The sequence below is a fragment of the Homo sapiens genome, chromosome 10 (genome assembly GCF_000001405.40).
Source record: "Homo sapiens chromosome 10, GRCh38.p14 Primary Assembly".
NCBI classification, from domain to species: Eukaryota; Metazoa; Chordata; class Mammalia; order Primates; family Hominidae; genus Homo; species Homo sapiens.
This window is the reverse complement of record NC_000010.11, coordinates 114,478,860-114,495,459: the sequence shown is the minus strand read 5'-3', so window position 1 is coordinate 114,495,459 and position 16,600 is coordinate 114,478,860. Positions and strand designations below refer to the sequence as shown.

Sequence of the window (16,600 nt, the reverse complement as noted above, 5' to 3'; positions counted from 1 at the left end):
CATCATCATCATCATTACCACCCCAGCACCACTCACCATCATCATTATCATCATCACCATCACCACCACCATCATCACCATCATCATCTCTACTTTACAATAGAGGTTCCAAGAGCTTGTGATCTGCCCAAGATCCCATTTCCAGTACGGGCTGGGGTAAACACTCTAGTTCAGGTGTCACAGCTCCAAAAGAAATGGACTTTTTTTTCCTCTTGGTCTTTATTTTATTACACAGCAACACAAAAATATATTTTTGTTATAAAGGGTTGAGATGATATAGCTGCAAAGGAGAATGTGAGGGTCCCTTCCTTTACTTCTTCCTGACTCTCACCTCTTGCTCCAAAGGTAACCACAGCAAACTAGTTGTATATTCTCGCTGTCTTCTCTCTAAGAAGGGCACACATATAAGATCAATATACATATACATGTGTGTCCTCGTTGATGTAAATAATCATAAGAGTGTCTGCCTTACAGGATTGATGAGGGGGTTGAAGAAAATTAGGCTTTTAAAGCACTTAACATGGTGCCAGGCAATATACTAGGTTCCTAATAGTGCTCTCATCAACTGCGTGGGGTAAGTTCTATTATTTCTACCCATTTTATTGATGTGGAAGCTGAGGATTAGAGAGATTGTCACCTGCACAAGATCACACAATACTGAAACTGGATTTGAATCCAATCAGACTTACCCTAGTGTCTCAACAGCTTTGGCCACTAGCTTATGTGGTTATTTTATAGGCATGATTTTTCCACTTGATTATTTTCTCTTGGTAATATTAGCTTGAACTGTTTCCATGTGTGTACATATGAGTTTACATCAGTCTTGTAATGGCTACATGTGATTCAGTATTGTAAGTACTTCTTTATTGGGGTTGTTTTCTGGTTTTGTTGTTGTTGTTGTTGTTGTTTGGTTTGGTTTGCTTTTGAGATGGACTCTTGCTCTGTCACCCAGGCTGGAGTGCAGTGGCATGATCTCAGCTCACTGCAGCCTCAGCCTCCCAGGCTCAAGCAGTCCTCCCACCTCAGCCTCCAAGTAGCTGTGACTACAGGCGTAAGCCACCATGCCTGGCTAATTTTGTTTATTTTATTTGTAAAGACAAGGTCTTACTGTTTTGCTCAGGATGGTTTTGAACTCCTGGGCTCAAGTGAGCCTCCTGCCTACGTCTCCCAAAGTGCTGGGATTAGAGGCATGAGCCACCACGCCCAGACTGGAATTGATTTTTGTATAGGTTGTGACTTAGGAATCTAGATTTATCTTTCTCTAAGTGGAGAACCAGTTGTCCTCTCTATTTATTAATCCATTCTTTCGGCTCATTTGAACCATTACCTTTATCATAAACTGAATTCTCTTGTATGTATGGCTATGCAACTGGTTCCTCTCTTCTCTACTGTTGATTTATTTTCTACTCCCATGCCCATACTAAAGTACTTTAATTATTTTAGACTTAGAAAAAAATTTTATGACAGGAAGGGAAAATCCTTCCTTATTGCTGTTCTCTTTCACAAAAAAGTGTATTTTTTGTGTGTGCATTTATTCTGTCACGTAAACTTACAGAAGCAGCCTGTCAAGGTCTATAGAGAAAATTCCTGTGGGTATTTAGACTGGGTGTTGCATTAATAGGTTCATTTTTGATAAATCAGCATCTTTACAATATTTAGTTTCTCCATCTAGAAATATCATACATTTTTATTTAGGTCTTTTATGTTCATCAGTTAAGTTCCATAATTTGCTTTGTGTAGATCTTGCATTGGAGGGTTTATTAGTTGTTATTACAAATGGGATCCCATTTTCCCATTACATTTACTTAATTTTTATTGCTAGTGAATAGGAAATAATGGTTTTTATATGTTAATTTTTTATCTAGCCATATGACTTAATTTTTGTATTCGTGATCTTTATACTTATTTTTCTTGACATCACATTGGCCAGGAGGAAAATGATGTAGAATGATATTGGTAAAAGTGTACACCTTTGTCTTGTTCCTGTCTTTAATGAGAATGCCTCGAACGTTTCACCACTAAATATGATAAATACACTTGATCAGCTTGAAGACATTTCTTTCTATTTGTAGCTTACCAGGAGGTATGCTTTTCACTGCAGACGACACCATGGTCTTGCCAAGGGGCCTTTATTTTTTCACTTAACATTTTCCTTAAGAGTCCAGAGATTGCCCGGACTAACTTGGGCCTCCCAGCACTGGCATCCTAGCTGAGCGAACCTGGTTTAGAACTGAGCACTTAGGACTGAGTAATGTCTTCTTTCTTCCTCCTTTCTGCTCACATTTGACTTCAGATGTCCTACAGGCAGGAGCTACTTTGTGTTGATATTTCCCGCCTTCTCTCGCCACTCTCCTCCAGCCCTACCCTTCCTTCTGCAGAAAAGTAAAAAATTTTACAAATAAATAAAAAGTAGCATGTGGACGAGGACAAGAGCACCACTTCTGGAATTTTCTGGCAGGCACCACTGAAAAGATTTTTATTCCTAACTTCTAATTTAAATAACTTCAATTTTTTTTTCCACCTGATTATCTTAAAGGGCTAACCACCACCTCACGTGCTGGTTGCTAAGTGGATCTTGTAGTTTTTACAGGAAAGTATGAGAAAGGAATTACCACGTGACATCTGATTTCCTGTTGCAGTTTCATGCAGGTTCTGATGCAGGATACAGTCATTTTTAACTCTTTCTCGGCCACTGCCTTGTACATGGTTAATGCAGAATAAATGTTTTGATGGTGGATTGATGGAAATGATTTAATCAGAGTCCATCTGAGAGTTCTTAGGTGGTGATGATTTTTTGCTAGGCTGTGAACGAAAGGATTTGTTCTTGTCAAGCATGTATGTGGAGCATGACTCTAATGTGATTTGGCACCTGTCTAGAAAATTGTCCCTGTATCCAGTGACACTTTGCTTTGGGGAAGTCAACACCTGCTGTGATGGCATCTGTCATATTTAGGAATGTGAAATGCACATGAATAATGCACAGCCACCTTAGTAAAATGCCTTCTCCAGAAAACTCTTCATGTAAGCCACTGGCAAAAGATTGTTGCAAGCTGCATAGAGGAGACTTAGGGCCCCCCTTGAGATAAAAACAGTGGATGATGTATTTTACTATAGCTTTTCTCACCTTGATGCCATTGGGGTAGATTTTATTATTTTCAGATTGTTTAGCCAAGAAAGCAAGAACCTGCTAAATATAAGGGTCATTTATTTTTGGTTGGTTTGTTAGAAACAGCATTAGCTCCCAACAAGGTGGGGTTTTGGGGAGATGGAGTGACTCATCTCAGGCATATGGTGTGTTAGTGGCAGCCATCCAGGTCAAGAGGGAGACATAGAAGCCAGAAACACCGAGAGGCAAGGCAGCCCCACCAGGCAGCCACGAGTAGCTGGCCTTGGAGCCCCTCCCGATTTCAGTGAAGTTGGCTTTAGCTTCCGGGGCTGTTGGTGTAGGAAGTTTGGTCAATTAGACAATTATTTTTCCTTTTTCAGCATCCTCTCTTTTCTTCTAAATCATCAAGTCCAGAAAAGATTCTGGAATCCATGACAAGGAGCAGACTCAACGTTCCCTACCTTTTCTCTTGCAGGCAGGTGACAAACATTACCACCCCAGCTGTGCACGATGCAGCAGATGCAACCAGATGTTCACAGAAGGAGAGGAAATGTATCTTCAAGGTGAGGTGGACTCAAGAACACTAGAAGTTTTCCTTGCTGGGGGAAAGGAAATCTTGCTATGTTTGTTTGATTGTTTTTAGAGAAGGAGGCATGTTATTAGCTGTGAGGCTACCCAAATCCAAGAAGATTATGGCCAAAAGTTACCTCATCAGTTAGTATTAATCAGCCAAGCAGTTGACATGCTGGCAGTGAGCCCCTCAGGCTGTTCACGAATGAACTTGTGATGCTGCCTTAATCAAATGAATGGAACTCGACATTTGATGGCTCGGATGTGAGGGAAGAGTGAAAATCAGCAATATCTCCTCTCCAACTCTCCCCAGGAATATGCTTAGGAAACAAAAGATTAAAATAATTTCTAGAAATTTCTAGAAATGTTACTTATTTGATGGCTACTTTTTTTCTCCTTTTACTCTCCTGTGAGAAGGGCTTTTTGAGGCCTCCCAGGCTGCTGTTCTCTGGGTTTTCAAAAAGAAAATCTCATATTTGATGAATTACGTCACAGACTTGTTTCACCCCATTAAGTTGATTAGCTCTTATATTGAGAGAGAGAGAGACAGAGAGAGAATAGGAGATAACAAGAGAGAACCCACTCTCTGAAAGAGAAATTTCTGGTGTCAAAGAGGTACTTTTTACCAGGGAGCCATTGGAATCCCAGCACTTTGGGAAGCTGAGTTGGGAAGACTGCTTGAACCGAGGAGTTCAAGACCATCCTGGGCAACATAGGGAATCCTCAACTCTATTTTATATATATATATAAAATAGACCATATATATATATACACACACACACACACACACACACACACACACACACACATATATATGCCGGGCGTGGTGGCTCACACCTGTAATCCCAGCTCTCAGGGAGGCAGAGGCGGGAGGATAGCTTGAGCTGAGGAATTCAAGACGTGCCTGGGCAATATAGCGAGACCCCGTTCTCCACAAAAAGGAAGAAAAAAAACAAAAAAGACAAAAAAAATAAGCATACATATATATATAAAGGACCATATATATATGATCATAGTTTTTATGAAACTGATTATATATATATATATATGATCAGTTTTTATGTTCTCTGAAATTCTGGAACTTCTCAGAGAGGCTTTGAGAGAGGATTCTCTTCTAGTCAAACAGCACCATCTGTGTAAGCATTTTACTGTTTTTAGCTGGAAAAGAGTTATTAATCAAACAAGGGTTTATTAATAAAATTAGCAAAACCCATAAGAGCTATTGCTCGTTCCGTTGTGGTAATTACTGGGTCTCAACTACCTGTGCATGTCATTTCTTGATTTCTCTTTGCACATGGCACTATGTGTACCTGTAATGAGTTGTTCACTTTGCTCTCTCAATTTTGTTTTTAGGCAACTTAGGAAAGTCTACAGAAAGGATTCTTGAGTATTAAAGCAAAGCCTGGCTACTCTCCCCTTAAAAAAGGCTAGCTACATGAGAAATTGACAACCCAAACTTCTTTTTGGCTTTAGAATGATCACTCTGAAAAACTGTGATTAAAAACATCACGGAATTTTGAAAGGCCTTATGAAGGCAAGTGACAAGCACCCGCATCTGTGGCCTCATGCGGGATTTATATGACACGTTTTCCCAAGGACAACAGGCCTTACATCTGCAGTGGCAATAGGCAGGTGTCACTTTGCATTTCTCAGCACAAAGCAGATTTATTCTTTATTTGGTCTGTGGGCTTAGATTTTAGCATGTCAATTCTAGCACTCAAAAGCAAAGACACAGGAGTGCCAATCAACCCTGTCTCTGCTAGAAACAGACTCAGAGGCTCCGGGTGCAGCTCTGCAATTCAGAGTGGTTCTGGAGGCTGGAGAGAGAAGGTTTCAAGCAGTGCACAAATGCAGCACATTCGGGCTACAAATAAATGGCTATCTGTTGAGGCTGCATTTGGAATTCCAGGGATTGCTCTAAACCTTCTGGAGTTGTGCTTCCGTAGCCTTTGTGTGCCCTCTCGGCACATCTTTGAAGAAAGAGCAGTTTCATCTTCTTCAGCATCTGATGTTCTGTCCGAGTCACATTCCTTGTGTGCCTGACCTCTGGAGAACAATAGTGCCATTGTGCGCAGACCCGGTGTCCTGGCCAGTGACTCCTGCTCAGCAGAACCTTCACGGCGAATGCTTCTCCTGAGCCTGCACCTGACCCCTGGGCCCTCTGCATTCAGAGGATTTCCTGTGCTTTGTAGTTAGCCTTTGAGCCAGAGTTAGTGCTGAAGGGACCTATACGTCTGTCTGCTTTTTGTTTGAATTTTTTGTTTGTTTATTTTGGCCCTGGGTTAAGAAGATGGAAAAAATGATTGTTAAATAAGGATTAAAGTATTATGCTGATATAAAATGTATTTTTTCTTGCCATTAATTTGATATTAGTTAAGCTCAGTGGTGTGAAATAACTCATGAGTTATTTTAATTTGGTTACTTTTCAAGTATGCACAGGTTGTTGCTTAAAAGAGATAAAGATTTTGGCCAGGTGTGGTGGCTCACGCCTGTAATCTCAACACTTTGGTAGGCCGAGGTGGGTGGATCGCTTGAGGTCAGGAGTTCCAAAGAGCCTGGCCAATATGGCGAAAACCTGTCTTTACTAAAAGTACAAAAATCACCCAGGCATGGTGGTGCATGCCTGTAACCCCAGCTACTTGGGAGGCTGAGGCAGGAGAATCGCTTGAACCTGAGAGGCAGAGGTTGCAGCAAGCTGAGATTGTGCCACTTGCACTCCAGCCTGGGAGACAGAGCAAGACTCTGTCTCAAAAGAAAAAAAAATGAGGTAAAGATTTAAGTCATGAAATGTGGAAACTCTGATATTCATACTGTGAATTTTATTTATGTAATTTATGCTTTCAACATAGTAACTTTATTTTCTTAAGTCTTCTTAAGTGCTCATTTAAGTTCTGTCCATCCCCACACTTGAATGTGTCCTTACATGGACATATCAGCCTTACTCATAATCATATAAATGACATATTTGATATGTATCTAGTCATACAAAATCATATGAGCAGGCATTGGATTCTTATAAGAGCTTCTATTGGAGATAAGTGTTTTGTTTAATTCTGTGATGCTGGTACCACGCATTAAAGTGCTTCATAATATGAGAAAGTGAGACTGTTGACTCAGGAACAGAAAATAACACCTAAATAGTTACTTCACTAGTTTAAAAGCAAAGACTTTTTAGAAAATTACTTAAAAGATTGAAGGCCAAAGGCAATTTTTGGATTTATAATTTAACTTTCACCCTTTCTACTAGTTGGTTTCTCATTTCTCTGTAGGTGACTATGTATAATTGAATCAATGAAAAATTCAGTAAGTCTTGCTTCTGGACATAGACTATCTGGTTGACTTTATTCCCGTCAACTAAACTGCTTGGTTGTTTTGATGTTATATAAACAATAGCTATTATTTTTTAAATTAAATGCAGCTTGTAGTAAGCACTCAGGCATTCCTTTTAAAGGATGATAATAAGGTTTAAAAATAACAAGACACGATTAAGAACTAAATATCTCTTGCATCAAAAGACTCATGCCCAGTTGGTGGTCTCTGTGGTCTAGAATTATGACCTTTATCAAACAAGCTTGGGCTAGATCAGGAAAACTCACTTAGGCTTTGGACATGTCTGATTTTTGTGTTATGATTCACTTGGACATAAAGCAATAACACCTTCCTATGATGGGGAAAGAGGGATAGGAGCCATTCTCAGAAGTGCTGTCTCAGAGGACTTTGTATCTTTCCATTTTCCTGGCTCTTAGTAGTGCATTCTGTCTTCTCAGGCTCCACCGTTTGGCATCCCGACTGTAAGCAATCTACGAAGACCGAGGAAAAGCTGCGGGTAAGGACACAATTAAAACATGATGCCAGCTGCATTTGTAGGCCATACGCTCGTGGTCACTAATTCTTGGGGCTAGGGTTTAGGTGAAATTACTTTTTACTGACTTTTTCCCTTATAGCAAACTAAGTTCAAAGGCCATTTGGCTAGGGAAAGGGTTCCCCTCTTACCTTAAACGTACTGTGGTTTTTATTCCAAATGCTTGTGTTAGACAAAGTAAGCCTTGGCCTTACTAGTCAGCTTCTTAGAAAAGCATTCAAGAGAAAAGTCAAATCATGCAGATGGGAAAACAACGACTCATCAGGTTCCAGGTGCAGCATCTGCTGACCTCACCAGACTGTTTTGGTGCTTAGTCTATAATGCACTACTCTGACCCCAGCTCTACATTGGCACATTTTACTGGTCTCTCATTTACTGGATCCAAATTCACCAGAATAGACTCTAAAAGCTGATGGCTTGTCAGATAAAACCTTTGGGGAAAATAATAACCAACCAAGACAGGTAAATTAGTCAATTCTCGGAACACCTCCAGATGGCAGTATTTTATGTTTCAGAAGCAAAGCGCTGTACACAGTTGTAAAACTGTGATCATAATCTCTGTCCTGTTCAGATGCCCTATTTTTCACACGGGCTAGGAAGTATTTTTCAGTGCAATAATCAGACTGAATGAATCCCAGTGCCTTGGGTTAACCTAACTTAGTGGTACCCATGGAAAAACTGGAGTTTAACTTCACCCTATTTACTGTCTCAGGGAAAAGAATGGCCTGGATTTATTTTGGAGGCCAGATTCTAGTGCATAGTGTAATCTCTTCTCGATCTGCCATTACCAGGCATCAGAAGCTATGTATGCAATCCCCAGCAGCAGCACGACCAGTTTACTGATGGGGTCTAGTCACTGATGTGTGACTTGTGAAGGGGTGACTTGGCTTTGGAGCAATGATTATCAACGAGACCCATTCGCTCTGCCTTTTTTCAGATCCCTTTGCCTGCCGCCCTGGGAATTACAGCTCTTATTTTCCTAGTGTGTTTGCTTTATTCTCTGAATGAACCACACGTATGCACAGGAGATATTTTTCCTTTGTTTTTTGTTTTTTCTTTTCCTCCTCAATTCGCATCCATCAATCAGAGGGAGACATTTTACCATTTGGATATTTTAGGAACTTGTCCCTTGCCTGTGACCCTGAACAAATGCAGTGCTTTTAGAATGCACAATTATTGTGAACATACTTAAGTTGAGGGGGAAAAAAAAACACTTTTTCTCTGAATAATTAAATAAAGGTAAGAACAGCCAAAGAGGAATTCGCCCATCAAGCTTAGGGTGGTTTTGCGCTCTGTTTTTGACACACAGAGTCCTGAAGTCCATCAGCCGGATAGTCACACACAGGCGTAGTCACCTGGTTGTGGGCTCTAGACTCTGGGATTTTTGAGAAACTATGGATGCTTTGGAAATGAGTTACCTTTATAAAATATGAGAACATAAATGATCATCCTTATTGTGACTTTTATCGTAAGAATGTAAAGTTCACAGCATAGCTTGAGGATGCTGCCCAGAAACCACCCCAGTAGCTATAGTAGTTTGTACTCTCTCTCCAGTGTTGCTTTTAGGTTTTCTAATAATCATTTTAACTTCATCTCTGATGAAGTCGTTTGGGAGATGAAGAGAGGAATGCTAATGAGGCCAGACTGAGTGGAATGTGGGTCTTTTCTGTATCAGGATTGCTTGAGTTTGCAAATCATGTGACTAAAATGATTTTTAAAAACCAACAACACTCTGATAACATCTTGATGGAAAACTCTCTGGATAAGCTTATGAAAACAACTAGTGAAATACTTCCACCCATTCTGGCCAAGAGGAGCTATTGTTTTCTTCCTTTAGTAAGACTTCCAGAGAATTCTAAAGCTCTTCTCCTAAACCCAGCATTCACTACGTGGGAGGTCAGGACAGTGCTCTGGGTCACTGTCTTTGGAAAGCTCAGAAGTGAGGAAGAGGCTCCCACGTACCCAGAGCCGGGGTTCACACTGATGTTGGTAGGGTTTAAAGGGAATACGTTTTGAACAGAGAAATACATCTTGTGCTCTCTTGAGGGTGTGTCTACACATCACAAATCTTGAGCCAAGATTTCCAGGCCTTTCACTGCATGTCACATTAGTGCAGTTTCCATAGCAAAATGAAAATGTTTTAAGAATCTTTCAGCAACCCACTGGGTAGTCCACATTTTTTATATTTAAGAACTCATGGGGCATTTGTAACAACAGATTCTCAAGGATGGCTCTCAGTTGGCTTCACTGGCTTTCTTACCCTTTATATATTGTAAGAATGTCTAAGCCAAAATAAATGGAGAGGAATTGAAGGAGGTTGGAGCTTAGATAAATTTACTGTAACTTGAAGACCAGTTAATATGCTTTTAAACATGGGCCCAAAAATCCACATGTACATCAATGAAAGAATCCCACTTGATGTTTACTCTCAAGTTAGTTTTACCTAAGGTGGTTGTTGTTTTGTTTTATTTTTTAAAATAATTCTTCTGATTTGAGGCTATTTCTGTGTTCGTTCTTCCCTTTTCTCATGTTTCATGGCAGCTGCCAAACATTCGGCGTTCTTCATCCGATTTCTTTTATTCCAAAAGTCTGATTCGACGCACAGGACGGTCTCCGTCTCTGCAGGTTGGCATTGTGTCTAGGCTGGGGCTCGAAGCCACTGTCCTGGGCCCAGGCTTCTGTTGCTTTTCCCCTGGGCTGCTTTTCTCACATAACTTCTTCGGCTCCTGCAGAAAGCAGATGCTTTTCTCACACCACAAGCGCCTCTCACACTGACTCTGGCTGTTGTCTTCTTGGATGGATGTTTTCATTCAGAGCAGCAGCTAAAGCTTTGTGTCTGTTCAAGCAAGCACATCAGAAGCTATCTTTTGGTCCCGTGTTGCCACGTTTGTTCACTGCACAAGTATCTGCTCAGCACCCAGGTATAGAGCTGGGCTGGATGTGGCAGATCCAGCCTCATAGGCAAGAAAAGATGATAAATAATTATAAGAGTGGTACAGAAACCCATCCCAGGCTATGGCTCATGTAGGCCATGCTCCTTGGAATGTCAGATGAGGAAAAGGTTTCCAGGGTCGCTTCCTGGGAGAAGTGGTCTTGGAGTTGATTTTTGGAGGCTGGCTGAGATTTGCCCATGAGGGGATGAGGAGAAAGTGGTGGACCTGATGAGGAGATGTGAAGTGTGCAGCCGGGAAAGGCAGTGCTTGGGTAGGGAGTGGTTTCACTCAAGAAAGGAAGAGTGAGACCAGGCACAGTGGCTCACGCCTGTAATCCCAGCACTTTGGGAGACCGAGGCAGGCAGATCACTTGAGATCAGGAGTTCAAGACCACCCTGGCCAACATGGTGAAACCCCGTCTCCACTAAAAATATAAAAATTAGCCAGGCATGGTTGTGGGCGCCTGTAATCCCAGCTACTTAGGAGGCTGAGGCAGGAGAATTGTTTGAACCCTGGAGACAGAGGTTGCAGTGAGCCAAGATTGCGCCACTGCACTCCAGCCGGGATGACAGAGCAAGACTCTGTCTCAAGAAAAAAAACAAAAGAACAGTGAAGTGGGAAAGGAAGAAACTGAGAACAGGCACCTACTCTATGGAGACTGGGGGATTTACGTATAATCTCATTTCCTCTCCCTAAGAATTCCTGCGAGGTAGCTAATCTTATTCCCATTTTACAGATGGGGAGACTGAGACCCATCATAGTTAGGTAACTTCTCCAGAGTTACTCTACTGGTAAGTGGAAGAGCTAGGATTGAAAACCATGTTTCCGTGAGCCCTTCACTCATATTCATCCTGCTATACTGCAAGGGGACAGTGAGAGAAAAACCCGAAAGAAGCAGAAGAAGGAGAACATTAAATACTGGCTAAGGCTGTTGTCAGGGGGCCACTGATGGAGTGTAAGGAAGAGAGACGCACCACCTGCCCGGGGCATCCTGCAGGGGAAGGGAGAGGACTCAACCAGCCCGGCAGAGGAACAGCCAGGCTGGAGATTATGCTGCATGCACAGTGTACCTGACCGTCTTTAGGGGTCTCTGAGAATCAGTGGAAACCTTGGCCTGTTAAACTAGAAGCGACTTTCTACAATCTCATCTCAGCCCAGATGAAACCTGTTCTGTAGCTCTGCTAACAATTCAGGGTTGCACTGCAGCACTTTGGCTGGGCTGTGTGCCTGTACATTCTGTGCCTGTCAGAACTGCGCTAAGGATAAGAAGAGTTTGAGTTTCTATTTTTGTTAAACCTTCACCTTCTTTCTTTGCACGATGGAAAAGACAGAAGTATAGAAGCTTAGAGTAGAAGAGAACCTTTTAGAGGTCAACCCCCTGAGTTTCCTCATTGATAGAATGAAGTCGGATGGGCTGGACATGGTGGCTCATGCCTGTAATCCCAGCACGTCGGGAGGCCAATGTGGGCAGATCACTAGAGCCCAGGAGTTTGAGACCAGCCTGGGCAATATGGCAAAACCCCATATGTACCCTTCCAAAAATACAAAAATTAGTGAGGGATGGTGGTGCGTGCCTGTATTCTTAGCCACTCAGGAGGCTTAGATGGGAAGATCACCTGAGCCTGGGGAGGTTGAGGCTGCAGTGAGCCAAGATCATGCCACTGCACTCCAGCCTGGGCAACAGAGTGAGACCCTGTCTCAAAAAAAAACCAAAAATGGACAGATACAGCAGCATGTCTGAGACTGCACAGGCTGTCATAAACAGCAAGCCAACTGCACACTTCAGTTCTTGACCCCAGGCCTCAGTGCCTTGCGTTGTCCCGTGATACTGGGTTCCTATGATATGATGTATTTTTCATACAATCTTCATTCTGTGTTAAAGTTTCAGCTCCAGTGGCAGAGTTTCCACACACGGTGAAGTCAAAGTCACATGAATCCAGAGGAACAGCCAAAGATTGTCCCCACTTTAAATGAGTGTTGCTCAGAATTAAGTGCTTCCACTTGGCAAGAAGCCACTTTTTCAATAGTTTTTTTTTCTTATTTTTTCCAGTAGTATACTGTTAAATAGTATTACATTTTGTTAGCCTGTGTCTACAATCAAGTAATACATTTTCATGACTTGAAGAAAAATGCCATCATCAAGTGTGAAATTTTTTAGTTTGCCCCAGACCTTTAAGCTTAAGAGATTTGGAGCATCTTGAGAGACAGAGAGGGAGCGAGAGAGGTCTGTTTTCAATAACTTCTCTCCTCCTATCTTGTTGTTCAAAAGGGACATCTGATTCCTATTATCCAGCTGTAACTATCAATGAAGTCAACTTTAGCTCCATCACAGAAAGTTGTAAACAGCTGGGGACCTGGCAGAGAAAATGGGCTGTGTGGCAAGGTCTCCCTTCACCCGTTGGCGATTGAAGAATGGCTCACCAGTACCTTTAAGATTCCAGAAAACTCCAAAGCAATGCAGTTCTCAAGTCACAGATATGTTATCTTTTAAGTACTTTTGGCTACACAGCAGCTCATTTTCCACCACTTAAAATTCAGTACCCTTAGTTATTAGATAAACTGTCTTCCTTGCAGGGACATTCAGTACTCTGTGCTGCAGAAATAAATCCTGGTTTTGTTGTAGAGGAAAGTAAAATCTATAGCAGGAAAGTCATTTTTGTTATCTATATTGAGAATGAGCTCCATCTTTTCCTTTTGCCTGAATTACAGGTAAAAGAAAATGATGAAAATAGAATTACCTAAGAAAAACGTATTCTGGTTCCACTCACTTGGAAGTTTTCTATGAATAGCAAATTTTGTCTACAGGTAAAACTCAGTACTGAGCATGTGTAATTCATTATACACAAAGCACATGGTATTCCCAGGACCAAGTCTGTAATAATCTGGGGGGTGTCACTTGCTTTCATTCTAAAAGGGAGTTTTTCTCAGCCATGCCTTTGGAGGTTAAAGCATGAATTGACTGACCTACAAAATGGGTGTGACTTTTTTCTTTGAAACTAATATTCACCAATTATAACATATGCACTTGTCAATCTATAATATACCGAACAAATACCATGTGTATATTTTTAAAGGAGCTAATTTGAGGCTTTATGTCTGTCAAGAACAAGCAAGTAATGTTAGTGGTGTTTGATTTTTGTTTTGTTCATGTCACTACAATACATACTGTTTTACTCCCAGCTTTCACTTCGTCCAAGTATTTCATCCTTTTGAGTGTGTCTTTACAGTTCATCAGACAGCTGAATGTAGAGGTGTAAAGATTTATACTGGAAAGATTTCATGTAATAACGGCTGATGGCATTTGTGAAACTGTCCCCAGAGAAGTGGTGTGTGCGCACAGCACCCTCCTGCCTCCTCTCCAAACACAAAATTCTTTTTTCCAAAGGAGTTGATTTCACTCTTTCTTTGCTTAGCAGTGGGCATTCAGTATGTGCAGGTTTTAAAATATTCCTTTTTCTGCAGCTGTTATCCCCACCTTGTCTAGTGAACTTCAACAAAAACCCAAGGCAGGTACTGTCCACATCAACAGGACTTAGTATAAGGTGTCAGTCACCTTATATCAGTAGTTGTCCCATCAGTGTTCATAAGATCATTCTGATCTAGTTGCCAGATGCCTGTAGTTTCTCTCCTTAGAGCATGGCTTTGGATAAATGCAAATTAGATGAATATAGTTGTTGCATCCCTGCTCCTGCTGAATGGGGGGAGGGCAGGGGCTACAAAGTGCTTCCCAGCACTGTCCTTCTAGGCGACCCATGTGCATGGTGGATCATAATGGAAAGTAAATGGAAAATGTCATTTATCTACTTACTCAACCGGCAGAGCTCTGGTAAGTGTTTTTAATGGTTAGTATTTGAAGAATAATAAGACCTGTAATGGAAACGGAAGAGGATGTCTTCAATTAATTTTTGTTCTGTGACTGTGCCTTCTGAATGGTAGGACAGATGGACAAAATCAAGGCATAGGGGAAAAATAGCTGAAAGGTATTTAGAGGGCTTTTCAAAGAGATTTCATGAAGAAAACAAAAAGATGTGCTTTTTAAAGCATTTGGCTACTTATTTGTAATTAAATGCCATGTTTTATCTCTCCTGTTGAACTGCTAGTCTTCTAATGAGGCATCTCTTTGTTATTTGTGTGTGTGTGTGTGGAAAGTAAAAATCGTTGTTGAAATCAAACGTAAAGACATGAAAGTGTGCTGGGGAGATAACTATAGAGTAAATGGACCCCTTCATCATGACAGACTGAATGAGAACAGCCATATCAACAAGAAGGTTCTTACCGAAGGCTCCTTTCTTCCTTTTGCCAAAATAAGGTTTCACCTACTTGCCTCATCTTACTGGCAAAATACTCTGAGCGATCACTACCATATATAATTCTGTATCTATCTACCTTGCCTGCTTTCTTCATCTCACCTCACCCCACCTCCATGCCAAAGATGGCATCAGAAGATGCCAAAGATAGCATCAAAAGGAAGAACTGAATTTCTCCAACTGCACTTTCGAGTTGGTTTTTCTGCAAGGAAAAGGTGCTTAAATGAAAGTAAATAAATTGTACCTGCTTTTAGTATGTTAGCCATAAGTCCTTGCTGTTTCCTTTATTCTGTAGAAGTGAGCTTACCTTTGGTGATAAATATTTGAAATTGTATGCATTTATAACATAGACCAGAGAGTAATTTTTTTTTACTGTAACTCTCATAAAGAATTCCAGAAACAAGGCTTCTGACCCATTGGGTTATTGAGTTCAGTTCATAATTATTGGGTCACTGTTGTTACCCTGGACATCTGAATGGGTGGAAATGGTAATTTAGATTAAATAACTACAGGTAAGGATCATCAGTTACATGTCACGATCACCTGTAAAATTCTGTGATGACCAAAGAGGTGATGATAGGGTTGGGTTAATGGTAAAGAAGAAACTGTCAGTGGGATTTGAAAGTGGGACAGCATGTCAGTAAGTTAAGTGCTTTCAAGATTGAGATGGTTTCTGTCTGAGTGGATATATGTTAATGTGTTGGAGAACAGCTCTGAGCCTTTTGAAGATATCTTAGCCATAACAGCAAATTATGGATTCATTAGGAAAAGAAAAATAACAGCTGGAAGAATAAAAATGGTTCTTTTAATAAACAAGATGTTAATTTGAAATTCAACATGTTTGGAATTCTAGATGTTTCAAATTGAAATGTAAAATTCTAAGTATCTAGGATTAAAAGTCCAAAAATAATCATTCAATTTTTAAAAAGTAATTTTATGACCTTCATAAGGGAGAGACCTCTAACCTCCCGCAGTTGAGCAAATACACTCTGAGAGACATTAGGGACTGTGGCAAAAAGCAGGCAATCCATGTGTGTCACTTAAGCCTTGAGCACAGTTCAGTAGGCAACAAACCAGGAACTGTCCTGGCAGATAAGACAGACTGTGCAAGGTCATCGTCATCGGCATGGGAAGGGCATTAATTACCAAAGTGGAGACACAGTCACTGTCTCCAAGAGCATTTGGAATCACTTCACAGAGTTCTCAAGGAGGGGAAGGCTATCTGTCAGCTCCTGGCGGGACTGCTGCCCCATATACTGTGATGAATTGCTTCACATATCTGAGTTCTGATGGGAAGGAGTCCAAGTGCGGTAGCTGTAGAGAACGCTGGGGAAGCCCAGTTCTGTGTAGCTCACGTATGAAAGGAATATTCATGAAGAGCAAAACAGAGGCATTATTTGAGATTAACTGCCTGAGAAACCTAGTCTAATCCCAAGTGTCTAGAAAATGTTGACTACTTGCCATGTGCCCAGTAAGGTGCTTGGAGCTTTATATGCATCCTCTCATTTAACCCTGTGACATAGTTATGCTGGTACACCTTGCTGCGTTCTGTACATGAAGAAGTTGAAGCTCAAGGAAGTTAAAAGAAAAAGAGAATGGAAAAGAAAAAAGAAAAACTCATGTAACATCAAACAACTAGTAGAGCCCAGGTTTGAACTGTTATTTGGCACCAAAGCCAGCCTTTTAAGTCCACTGTATTACACTGTCTTACATAAAATACATAGATGTGTTTTATCCCATTATTTCAATATAGACAGGTAAACAGAATTGGGCCATTGTAAGAAAATAAGCAAGCAAGAATGCAACTCAACCTGCAAACAAG

At 41.0% G+C, this 16,600-nt stretch overlaps 1 protein-coding gene across 56 annotated transcripts in view, besides 2 other annotated features; it reads left to right on the top strand.

Annotated features, from left to right (window-relative positions):
- Positions 1–16,600, top strand: part of ABLIM1 (actin binding LIM protein 1) — a 370,264-nt gene that overhangs the window by 305,914 nt on the left and 47,750 nt on the right. For 38 of the 56 annotated variants that reach the window (XM_047425242.1, XM_047425238.1, XM_047425237.1 and 35 more), the window contains 2 exon segments: positions 3,582–3,669; positions 7,444–7,502. In XM_047425242.1, coding sequence (XP_047281198.1) covers positions 3,582–3,669; positions 7,444–7,502 — 147 coding nt within the window. 56 annotated transcript variants of the gene reach the window in all.
- Positions 5,141–5,640: an enhancer, noted in NCBI's record as "NANOG-H3K27ac hESC enhancer chr10:116249579-116250078 (GRCh37/hg19 assembly coordinates)". NCBI's record gives its function as "activates a minimal SCP1, AML or CMV promoter by ChIP-STARR-seq in primed H9 embryonic stem cells {active_cell/tissue: H9 hESC(primed)}" and the evidence as "EXISTENCE:reporter gene assay evidence [ECO:0000049][PMID:30033119]".
- Positions 6,550–7,749: an enhancer, noted in NCBI's record as "BRD4-independent group 4 enhancer chr10:116247470-116248669 (GRCh37/hg19 assembly coordinates)". NCBI's record gives its function as "activates an origin of replication core promoter dependent on BRD2, P300/CBP, MED14 and CDK7 cofactors, and independent of BRD4, by STARR-seq in HCT116 cells {active_cell/tissue: HCT116}" and the evidence as "EXISTENCE:reporter gene assay evidence [ECO:0000049][PMID:35650434]".